At 39.3% G+C, this 13,006-nt stretch overlaps 1 protein-coding gene across 3 annotated transcripts in view, besides 1 other annotated feature; it reads right to left on the reverse strand.

Annotated features, from left to right (window-relative positions):
* The window catches only part of SMYD3 (SET and MYND domain containing 3), a 757,933-nt gene that overhangs the window by 696,900 nt on the left and 48,027 nt on the right, over window positions 1–13,006 (reverse strand). The window lies entirely within an intron of this gene.
* Window positions 3,124–3,684: an enhancer, noted in NCBI's record as "OCT4-NANOG hESC enhancer chr1:246612672-246613232 (GRCh37/hg19 assembly coordinates)". NCBI's record gives its function as "activates a minimal SCP1, AML or CMV promoter by ChIP-STARR-seq in primed H9 embryonic stem cells {active_cell/tissue: H9 hESC(primed)}" and the evidence as "EXISTENCE:reporter gene assay evidence [ECO:0000049][PMID:30033119]".

Raw genomic sequence — 13,006 nt, forward strand, 5'->3', positions numbered from 1 at the left:
TATCACTACATGTAGCAAATAACAAGTAAGCAGAGAATCAAAGACATCACAATGATATATCCATAAAAAAAGTATTATCATATTTGTCCTAAAGACAACTCTAGAAATAATTCTATTTATCTAGTAAGAAAAGGCATGACCATTTACTATATATAAAAACATAATCTTTCAAAGAATGTCAAAAATGAAACCACTATATTATCCAATAAATTCTGTGACCGGGGAGAGAAAACCTACTAATCTCTAATAAATGGAACCTCCACATCAGAGATATTAGAGGTGCTGTTTTTCTAAACCCATTTAATGTAGCTCTTTGAGCTTGCAACAGGATCTCCATGACAGGTTTCATTTCTAAAATTCAATTAAAACTTATCTACGATTTAAATAGGTACCATATGGGGATGAATTTTAGGAACCTATGTAACTTGAGGCATCTGATGACACTGTTAAAAGGAGTTGTCTATTACTGCAGGAACACGGTAATTTAGAAATGGCATCCTAGGCCGGGCGCTGTGGCTCACGCCTGTAATCCCAGCACTTTGGGAGGCTGAGGTGGGCAGATCACAAGGTCGGGAGATCGACACCATCCTGGCTAACATGATGAAACCCCGTCTCTACTAAAGATACAAAAAATTAGCCAGTCATGCTAGCACATGCCTGTAATCCCAGCTAGTCAGGAGGCTGAGGCAGGAGAATCGCTTGAACCCGGGAGGCGAAGGTTGCAGTGAGCCGAGATCGTGCCACTGCACTCCAGCCTCGGTGACAGAGCCAGACTCCGTCTCCAAAAAAAAAAAAAAAAAATGGCATCCTATCTAATTTAATCACACCATAACTTAGAGCAAGTTTTATATTTTAAACTATATAGCTTTCAAGTAGCAATCTCAAATCCTATAAATGAAGACTGCATTAAAATGTTAAATGTATTGTTATAACATTTCCTTCGGAAACCAGATTTAATTATAGGATCATCTATAATGTCTTGCCTTTATCAGAGGAATTGGGGAGGTAATTAAGTAAGTAGAGTGTATCACTTTACATTTCTGGTCCCAATAACTTTCGGAACACTGTGTAACAAAATGTGCTATGAGAAAAGAGTACTTGTAAAATTATTACCGTAATACAAATAATCAACTTCTTCAAGACAGAAAAATTCTTGGCTATAAAATTCAGAGGAAAATTCCAAACTTATGACAAGATGAAAATACTGAAATATATTTGACATTTGAAAACAAAATTTCCAGAAGTTTCTCTCACAAATACACGAGACAGAAACTGACTGATTCAGAGGCCACGCACCTGAAGTTGTCTCACCAGTCTTAAAAGATTATCTCAATACAAGAAATGATTGTCTTTCCAATATTTCTTTTTCAGTCTTATAGTCTACAGAAGTATCCACATAAGGAGAGCTAGCAGGACACACACACCATAAATCACAGTAGGCAGGTCAGCTCTATGCTTAGTCAGTTCTTCATTCTACACCTTCTCCCAGTTAGAAGCAGCCCCATCTCCTCTGGGGAATTAATTGCCATGTAATCATCACTTGGATTACTGAGCTCTACTGTTTCACTTCCAGCTTTTTAAGAGAATTGCTTTCCTCCCACTTTTTTCAAATAGAAGAGGTGAGGAGATCAAAATACAACAAGCACTAATATACCCTTCCCCAGATTCAACATTTGTTAACAACTTTCCACGTCTGCTTCCTCTCTACATATGTGTATCTGTACGTTCTTTTGCTCATCCATTTGAAAATAAGTTGCATACATTTTAACTCATCCCTAAGACCTTTGGCATATGATTCCTATTAAGAATAACATAATCAAATTAGCCAGGCGTGGTGGCGCATGCCTGTAATGCCAACTACTCGGGAGGCTGAGGCAGGAGAATTGCTTGAACCCGGAAGGCAGAGGCGGCATTGAGCCAAGATCGCGCCATTGCACTCCAGCTAGGGAAACAGAGCGAGACTCCGTCTCAAAAAAAAATAATAACATAATCTCTTACATGATCACAATACATGATGCTGAAGCCACTATTCTGGAGACCACGCTTTGAGAACCAACGCACAGAGACTAAGATAAAACTGCTGTTCAATAAATGCTCTTCTCCTCATCCTCTACTCTTCCCTTTCCAAAAGTCAACTGTCATTATCCTATGAAAACAGAACTTTGAATATGTTATACAATCAATTTGTTGGCAGGGAATACCCATCCCCAACATATCTACTGAGAGACTAAATAAACAAATGGTCAAAGGCCAGATCGTAGGTAACTACGACCCACGACCTGCAGCTACAAGCCCAGGCAACCAACCTATTATCTACAATAACCAGTCTAGGAAGTCAGACTGGTTACTGTCTAGCAACTAGCCCAGGAAGCCCAACAATGCCCTTAAGAATTTGTACAAAGCCACACTATCTGTGATCATGCCTGGGGAACACAGCAAGATCTCATCTCTTTTTTTTAAAAAAAAAAAAAAAAAAAAAAAAGGACAAAATGGCCAGGAAATGATTAGTAACTGTCAGCTTCCCTAATTTTTGCTCCTGCTTCCAATGTAGGACCAACCAGAGAAAGCCAAAAATGTACCCTTAACTAATCACACAGGTTGCTATGCTTTTAGTTGGCTCACCTACAGCTTCCCACAGGAACAGCCTACAAACAGGGCATACCTGAAACCTTCCCTTTTTTCCACTCTAAAGTTTACCCTGCTGGGCACAGTGGCTCACACTTGTAATCCCAACACTTTGGGAAGACAAGGCAGGAAGATCACTTGAGCCCAGGACTTCAAGATGAGCCTGGGAAACATAGTGAGACCCAGTGTCTACAAAAAATAAAAATAAATTAGCTGGACATGGTAGCACATGCCTGTAGTTCCAGCTACTCAGGGGGGACTGAGATGGGAGAGTCACTTGAGCCTGGGAGGTCGAGACTGCAATGAGCCATGATCACGCCCCTGCACTCCACGTGGTCAACAGAGCAAGAGCCTATCTCCAGAAAAAAAATAAAATAAACAAAAGTTTTCCCATTCCTCTGTCTTCCTTGAATCTCCACCAAATTGAATAGATGGTGGTGGATTCCCTTACTATATAAAGAAAGCTCTGAATAAGTAGCCTTTGATTGTACTCATTTGGGTAGACCTCATTTATTTCCACAACCAGAATAAAATCAATTAGTTATTTTTGTGATGTTTTTGCTCTTTAACTTAGAATTCCTTCTTCTGAGACAGTGTGATATGGGGCAGGAGGGACCTGCTTTGGAGCCAGGAAGACCTGGGTTTGGAAATCTGACTTCTCCAGCGATTACCTTATGCAAGTTCTATAATCTCTTTGAACGTGAGACCTGTGTTTGGAAATCTGACTTCTCCAGCGATTACCTGATGCAAGTTCTAGAATCTCTTTGAACGCCCATTTCCTCACTGATGTTCTCCATGAAGGGAACAATAAGCACCCACTGCTTAGGGCTGCCCTAAGAAGAGAAAATAAACACAAAAGGACACCGTGCCTGACACAGAGAAGTGTCAATGAAGTCAGGTGCTCTGACTGGGCTATGTTCTTCAGCTTTGAAACCTTTAATCCTGTGAGTATGAACCTGCTGACGTTAGGTGTGGAAAGGTTTTTTTTGTTTGTTTTTAAGTAATGTTATTGGGAGTATAGAGCCAAGTCCCTCACTTTAGAAACTAAAAGATGAGTGTTGCAGCTTCGGCATACCGTTTTGACTACTGTGACAGAAAATGACCCAAACTAGTTCATGTAAAATCTCATCAACAGGCCGGGCATGGTGGCTCACACCTATTATCCCAGCACTTTGGGAGGCCGAGGTGGGCAGATCACCTGAGGTCGGGAGTTCGAGACCAGCCTGACCAACATGGAGCAACCCCATCTCTGCTAAAAATACAAAATTAGCCGGGCGTGGCGGCACATGCCTGTAATCCCAGCTACTCAGGAGGCTGAGGCAGGAGAATGGCTTGAACGCCTCCGGGAGGCGGAGGTTGAGGTGAGCCGACATCGCACCATTGCACTCCAGCCTGGGCAACAAAAGCGAAACTCTATCTCAAAAAAAAAAAACTCATCAACAGAACTATAGGGACATCCCAGACTCCCAAAGACTGAGTTTCAACTGATAAATAACTCAATAAATCAGGCTGCTCTCTCAGGAAATGCTTGATTTGATCACCTCCGTTGTTCTTCTCTCAACCTGCTTCTTTTGCTTACTCAGCTGCACACGGCCCTGAAAAATGCCCACCCCAAGATGGCAGTGATCTATAATTTCATAAAGATTTGGGTTACACAGGTGTATGCATTTGTCGGAATTCATCGAATGGTATACTTAAGACATAGGCATTCCACTGCACTTAATGGATCTAGTCTCATTTCTGTCTCCCTCACTAAACTGTGACATCTCAAGGACAAAAAGGAATCATATTCGACACTGAATCCTCCACGCTGGCACAATGCCTAGCATGTAACTGAATCTCAGTAAATGCGTGATTATTAAACAAAGGAAGCAAACTGAAGAATTTGAGAAAGTCTACTTATTGGGATTTATTCTGAAAGATGTACTACAAGTTCACATTTTAATTAATGATTACATTCCAGTGAATTAATATAAACGTATTTAAATTTTAATCATTATGAAGTGAACTATATTTATAAGCAAACAATTAGTGACTTAATTAAGGTGCCAACTGTTCAGTGTACATGACTCTACCACCACCTAGTGTAAATAAATGCATATTACCACATTTGGAAATTCCCTAAAGACAAAGAATCTCCCAATGGTGGGTCACAAACTAACATACTTCAACCACAAACATTCAGCAGGTGCCTGCCGGTCCTGGAAATTATGCCAGGCTCCAGAAGGACAGACACAGCTCTTGTCTGTGTTGATCACTGCTGTCTCCTCAGGGTTTAGGAGAATGGCAAAGCACTTTGCTGGCCTTCAATAAATATCTGTTAGCTGACTGACAAGATTCTGGGATTAAAAGGTGACTAAGTTATCTTCGGGAAAGACATTCAGCCATTCAAAACCAACAGCATTTTATAAACAATGAAATATTATTCTGCACTAAAAATAAATGAGCTATCAAGCTCTGAAAAGACACGGAGGAAACTTAAGTGAATATTACTAAGCGAAAGAAGCCAATGTGAAAAGGCTACACACTATACGATTCCAACTGTATGACATTTAGGAAAAGGCAAAACTATAGAGACAGTAAAAGGATCAGTGATGACCAGGAGCTGGGGAGGGAAGGGATGAATATGTAGGGCACAGGGGATTCAGGGGGCAGGGAAATTACTCTATGATATGATGATGGTGGATACATGTCATTACACATATGTCAAAACCCATAGGATTTACAACACCAAGGGTGAACGCTAATGTAAACTATTCACTTTGGGTGATAATGTCATGAGTAGAAGGTGATCGGTTGCAACAAACGTGCCATTCTGGCGGGGGGTGTCCATTGTAGGGGAGGCTGTGCATGTGTAGAGGAAGAGGGTCTATGCGAACTCTCTGTGCTACGCACTCAATTTTGCTATGTAGTTAAAACTACTCTAAAAAGTAGTTTTTTTTAGTCAATAAAATTTTTTTACTTTAACTTTAGATATCAAATAAGCAAAACCCAAATCTAACAAGTACATCAAAAATATACTGTTTTTTTAAATGCCTACATAAATGCTCAATAAATGTTATTTCCTCACCTCCGTAGCACAACCGCAACTGCTTACCCCAAGTAGCTGACATGAAGTGGCTGTAAAGAAGCCACTGTTTCTTCATCTGTGAAATTAAGACAGCAGGACTAAATCTCTCACTTCCTATTCTAATTTAACATTCTTTTAAATTTTAAAAGAATAGATCACTAAACCTAAACTTTTCTAAAATATAGAAAAAGGAAGGAAACTGTCAAATACTTACAGCATCACACAGTGACACCAAAACCTGACAACGAACACATTAAAAATTACTGTCAAATCTCACTTGCGGGCCAGGGGCGGTGGCTCACACCTGTAATTCTAGCACTTTGGGAGGCCAAGATGGGTGGATGACTTGAGGCTAGGAGTTCGAGACCAGCTTGGCCAACATGGCAGAACCTTGTCTCTCCTAAAAATACAAAAATTATGGGTGGTGTTGTGCACCTGTACTACCAGCTACTGGGGAGGCTGAGGCACGAGAATCGTTTGAACTCGTTTGGGAGGTGGAAGTTGCAGTGGACAGAGTTCGCACCTCCAGCCTGGGCCACAAACCAAGACTCCGTTTCAAAAAAGAAACGGAAAAAAAAGACTCATTTATAAATATTGGTGCAAAAACTTTAAAAGTAATAGCAATGAGAACTCATAAATGCACTAAATGAAGGATAGGCTATAGGCACAACTGTTTACTCCAGTGATTCCAGGAGAGTTCACTATTAGGAACTCTACTCATACAAGCAACCATATAAGTAGGTCAAAAAAGAAAAGTTATATGACCATCTAAGTAGATGCCAAATAGACATGATGAAATTTTTAAACCGTTCCTGATTTTAACGCTTAGCAAAATAGCAATAGATGACTATTTCCTTAACATAATGGAAAAATACATTTCATATCAGTCTATAACTTTCTAATGTTTTACTGGAAACATTACTGAAACACTAAAACAATGACACACACAAGCATTTCTGTTGAAGTCTGGGAGGAATAAAGAAAGCCCACCATTGGGCTTCTAGATTAATATTCATCTAGAAGTACCATACTAGCCAATGCAAGGGAAAAAAAATCTTATGTGAGTTTTATTTATTTACCACACATTTTTACAGTGCTTACTATATGTCAGATACTGTTCTGAACACTTTACAAATACTAAATCATTTAATTCATATAATCGTCATAATAATAAGGCAGTACTATTATTATCTCATTTTACAGAGGGAGAGAGCAAGGCACAGAGAACATAAGTAGCTTGCGCAAAGTCACATAGCTAGCAAGTTAGTAGAAACAGGCTTAACACACAAGCAGTCATAGTTCCAGAGCCGGTGCTTCTCACCACTATGCTATATGAAACACGATATCGGACTGAAGGAGGCGGAAGTATCCATATATGCAGATGATATGACACATTTGCAAAATTCAAGGGAGAAAAAAGTTGAAACATTGTTATAAGTGAGAATTTAGTACAGTGGTGGATTACAAAATCACATAAAACTACGATGCTTCTATATGTAAACAATAAAAACTTAGAAAATATACTATAAAAAGATGCTATTTACACTACTGACAAAAAAGGTAAAATAACTAGAAATAAAAATAAGTAGATAGTTCCTATTTGAATAAAAAATTACAACCCTGCTGGTTTATCAGTGAACATAAACTCCAAATTTACCAAAAGCGAGGTATTCAAAAGGTATGAACTGACTTAAAATGCTCCTCAGGCACCTAAGTAAAAGCCACAGGGTTGAAAGCAAACCAGCCTTAAAAAGGCCCACCGTTTCGCCACCTACCTGGATCAGGTGTATGCAATACACTTGAGCTTTGTCAGCTAACCCAATTATGCCCAATCTTTTAGGCCAACCCTTAACAAATTTAATACCTTCTATTACCAGCCCAAGAGCACGGTCATGATACAGAAACACTTTTCTGCAAACTGTTAGTAAATCTCTACTACACCTTACAACAGTCCACATTTTAACTACTAATAAAGCACTGAAGTTGGGTGAGGATCTGATGGAACAAGTGGATCTTCTAGTCGGCTCCTATTCCACTTTAAGGCCTAAGGTTGGCAGTTAATGCCCAGTCAAATCAGATTAGGTAATACGTGAAGAAATTGTTCACAATGCAAAAAAGAGAAATCCTGAATAAACATTCAGAGAAGTGTCCCCTAAAAAGTAAGGATCATTCAACTATGAAATGAGTTAACATGGGAAACCAAGATTCTCTGTAGGAAATAGTTTAATGGGATAGGTGTGCATCCATAAAGAAACTGCTATGCATTGAGGTGGGGAAAAATGCTTTAACCGTCACCATTAGCACCATAATCAGTCAGTCAGTCAAGCAACCAGGCAACCATTACTTATGGAGTTGCTACTATGGGCACAACTCTGCAGCAGTCAAAATAAAATGTGAGGTATGATTCCATCAAGAGAAATATTTATTATATGCTTGGAGAAACAAACATGAAGAGAATACAAAGCAATACATGAAAAGAAATACATAAGGCAAACTAATAATGGGAGAATTTCTCTCTGAGTTCCCATATATATTACAGGAATAAAAATCTAAGGAGCAATCAATCAGAATAGAATTTTATTTCTTCCAACTTTTAGAAGCTGAAAAGATTTGGAGGACTATAAAATGTACACAGGCAAATAATCCACGGCAGTAGTAATAACTGATGAGGGATTATTAAAAACACACTAAAGCCTCAAACGTCAGCAATGTTTATCATCCTATTTCATTAAAACATATTCACTAATTAATTTCAGTAACCAGAGTTAATTTAACAAGTCACTGTGCTAGGCTTTTACTGAATGAGTCAAAAGGAAACACATAAAAATACTCAAAGATTTCTTATATAAAGCAACAGGACTGGATGCAAGCTCTAAGGGCAGCTGTTTAACAATGAAAAAACTGGGACTGAAATCAAGTTTGTGACTGAAAATAGGCACATTGAGCTCTGTAGTCACCTCTATTTATAGTACTGTAATAAAAGCCACATATTGGGTTAAATCAATGTCCTCCCATCCCTTAGATAACCCACTCTACAATACAACAAATTTATAACTGAAGATGTAGGGTGATAATTCACATTAATTCAGCAAATATTTACTGAGTTATGATGCTGTGCTCAGTGCCTGAAATGCTAAATTTAATAAGACATAGACCCAGCATTTTTTGTTTGTTTTTTTAAATAAAGACACAGTCAAGTCCAAGTCCCTGATCTGAAAGAGCTCATGTTATAGAGAATTTCTCACTTTGTAGGGAGAGAAAAAGTATTCCTTTAAAAATAAAGTTCCTTGAAACAGTCCTGTTTTCCAATCATTAACTACCTAACCAGGAAGATAGAGAATTGGAAAACCACCACATTTGCTTATAAGAACTGAATGGAATATGAATTGGAAATAAAAATGAAATATCTCTAAAACCGTCATGCTATACTGGATTGAATGTACATCAAGAAATTGTATTTCCAGTCCTACATTGAGAAATTTTATTTACACAAAATCTATTACACAAAGCAAGATATAACCAGCTAATATTTCATTGAGCTATTACCAAATGTTAAGAGGTTTCCTAGAAAGAAATGAGTTCTATTAAAAGCTTTAGGGACACTGAGCCTCCAAATGCTATAGAAAAGCCAGATACTATAGAAAAGCCAGATACTGCCTTGAGGCAAAAATGCTAGAAAGTGATAGAATGCGTTCTTTACAATTTGCAGCTAGGTTATTACCCATGATAAATTGATAACCATTCATTAACTTTGAGAGCAATAGACAACTGGCAGGCTATTTCATGCCTCAAAGAATTTATGGCAAAAATGACAGGTGACTTTGAATTCTGAAAAGGATTCTTGGAAATTATTACTTTCATGCATTCCTTTAAATAAACTTGGAGGCAGATATAGGTATTTGCTGCTGATATGAATTAAAGGTCATGATTTTCTACATCAATGATAAAAGAATTAATGTTTATCGGTTGCATCAGTCTGTCAATCAACAACAGATACGTGAATCAGGCACTTAAAGTATATCCTGATAGCTGATATCCACTCTGAGTCATAGCAGGGAAAAACTATGCAAAAATACATCAATAACCTATATTAAAACAGTACAATTAAGAGTAGGAATTATGTTTGCAGGTTCTTTGCTGGCCACCTCCTTGGTACCTACCACAATGTTGGTAATCCCAAAGGAATTTGTCTCTGGCCCAATTTTCTTCTCATTCTCCCTGTTTCTAAGCTGATATATATCTAAGCCTTCAGCTATCACCTATCTCTACCTTCTCCAGGAATATCTCTCTCTTGAGTTGCTCCGATTGTCAACCCTGGCTTCACATTAGCATTACCTCAGTCGATTTTAAGACATACCAAACTGTGTCCCTGTGTCATATAAATTAAATCAGTATCTCTACGAATAGGACCAAGGCATGAATTTGTTGTTTAGTTTCCCTAATAGGCACACAAGGTCGAGACCCACTGCTTTTCTAGATCCATCACTCCAGCCATCTCCTGGACTGGTCAGCTCCACCTGAATATCTCACAGGCACCTCAAATTTCCCATGTAACATACCTACTCATCCACCAACACCAAGCTAAAGCATTTTCTCCTCTGCCCTAACTGACCCCAGGAGCATTAGGCAGTCCTTCCACCTAGCTTCCACAGTATTCTGTCTATGCCTCTGTTGAAGCATTTAGCACCATTTATTATAACTTATATTTTCCCCATAAGACTGTTTCTTTGTCCTGCTTTGTTTTAATATGCGAAGAACCCACAAATGAGTGGGACCAGAAGGTGAGTGATAGCCAAAATCCAAAGAGAAATCAAATATCTATAATCAGGTCTAAGGAGTCATTGCAAGGTTGGAAAACTGGAGACATGGCTAAGGTATCATTAAGCAGGCAGACACAAGATCAAAGTTATGAAGGAGGACACAAGGGGATGGGAATGGTGTACCCAGGGCTTAGCTTTATTAAATTCCACCTAGTACACCGAATGGACCAGACTAATCCAAATCTGGCTCTAGGTTAAAGAAAATGGTCCTGTAAAGTCTACTTCCCCAAAGAATATCGAATTTAAGTTCTCCTTTGTGCTTTCACTTCTACAGCCTTATATGGAGCCTTCCATCTCTTGAGTAGACTTTTTTTCCTTTTCTTGTATAGACTTTTAAAACAGCATCTTAATTCATGTCCATACTGATCATCTCTGGCCACTTCAGGCTAACACTGACCACAGAGTTATATTTCAGAAGAATAAATCTTTCGAGAGGTGAATGTTCAAGGGTAAGAATAGAGAAAAAATAAAAACATAAAATAAAATAATAAATCTTCTCCCTCATCACTCCTCTATTGGAAACTCTCAGGTGACTCTTAGAAAATAAGGTCCATGAGGTCAGGAGTTCCAGACCAGCCTGGCCAACATGGTGAAACCCCGTCTCTATTAAAAATACAAAAAATTAGCCAGCCATGATGGCAGGCACCTGTAATCCCAGCTAATCGGGAGGCTGAGGCAGGAGAATCACTTGCACCTGGGATGCGGAGGGTGCAGTGAGCTGAGATCGTGCCACTGCACTCCAGCCTGAGCAACAGAGCGAGACTCTGCCTCAAAAAAAAAAAAAAAAGAAAAGAAAAGAAAAGAAAAGAAAAGAAAAAGAAAAAGAAAAGAAGGTCCAAATTCTCTACCATGGCCTATACAGCCTTTCTCAACTTGGCTGTAACCAATACCTCCAACCATTCTCCCACATAATCAATACTACATTCACAATCAATATTCTCCATCTGTTCACAACTTAGTGCTTTTATACAAGCTGTGCGTACAGCAGAAGTACCCAATCCACTGCCTACCTACTATCCAAAATTTACAGATCCTGCAGAAATAGCTCAAATGCTACCTCTTCAGTAAGGCTATTTATAACTACACCAGAATAAATGGACATCCTCATTCACTACTGATTCTTTCCAAAAGTTTTTCTGGAGGCCCTACTATGTGACAGTCACTAGCATAAACTTTCCTATAGTATTTTGTTCAAACTTGAGTTATGACAGTTATGATGTTATATTTAAAACGTATGTGATTTTATCACCTGCATCTGTCTGTTCATTTCCTGAAGATAACAAGCATTATTTTCTGGTCCAACTTTCCTGTTTTTCTGACTTGGGTCCAAGAGGGGCTCAGGACTCCATGTTGTGCCTAATAAAGACTTCCCTGATGGCAGGTCACAGCTGTGGGCACCCGAGGGTCAGGCTACAAGGACAGATATTAAAATAATGACTGAGCCCACATGTAGAATATAAATAGTGAGCCAAGAAAGTGAAGAAAGGTCAAAAGGCAAAGTATTCAGGTCTTCCATCTCAGATGAGAAAAGGAGAGTTAAAAGTGAGAAACAAGACAAGCAGAGTTGGAAAAACTGAAGACTAATTCTGAAGTGATATCATCAACATAGCTCATCTGTGCATGACTTGATATACTTTGCTGGAACAAGGCCATAACCTTCAAGTAGAAAAGTCATTCTTTTTTTTTTTTTTTTTTTTTTTTTTGAGACAGAGTCTCGCTCTGTTGCCCAGGCTGGAGTGCAGTGGTGCGATCTCGGCTCACTGCAACCTCCGCCTCCCAGGTTCACACCATTCTCCTGCCTCAGTCTCCCAAGTAGCTGGGACTACAGGCGCCCACCACCGCGCCTGGCTGATTTTTTTTTTTTTTTTTTTTTTTTTTGTATTTTTAGTAGAGACGGGGTTTCATTATGTTAGCCAGGATGGTCTGGATCTCCTGACCTCGTGATCCGCCCGCCTCAGCCTCCCAAAGTGCTGGGATTACAGGCGTGAGCCACCGCGCCCGGCCGGAAAAGTCATTCTAAATACAGTACATTATATCCATCTTTGTAACTATTCTGCAGCCTAACCTAGTGCCAGGAACATGTGATGTGAAAATGTGCTGAATTAACACTTTTGCAAGTAATGATTATAACATACACGCATATATTCTATGTGTATTCATCTGACCCAGTAGGCAAAACAAAGCTACTGGAAATACTGAACTGTAGAATAGGATGTTGATATGGTTCAGCTCTGTGTCCCCACCCAAATCTCATATCCAATTGTAATCCCCGTGTGTTGAAGGAGGGGCCTGATGGGGGGGTGACTGAATCATGGGGGCAGACTTCCCCGTGCTGTTCTCCTTACAGAGTTCTCGCAAGATATTGTTGTTTGAAAATGTGTAGCACGTCCCCCTTCACTCTCTCCTGCTCTGCTGTTCTCGTGATAGTTCTCGCGAGATCTTGTTATTTGAAAGTGTGTGACACGTCCCCCTTCACTCTCTCCTGCTCTGC

Source organism: Homo sapiens, chromosome 1 (assembly GCF_000001405.40).
Source record: "Homo sapiens chromosome 1, GRCh38.p14 Primary Assembly".
NCBI lineage: Eukaryota > Metazoa > Chordata > Mammalia > Primates > Hominidae > Homo > Homo sapiens.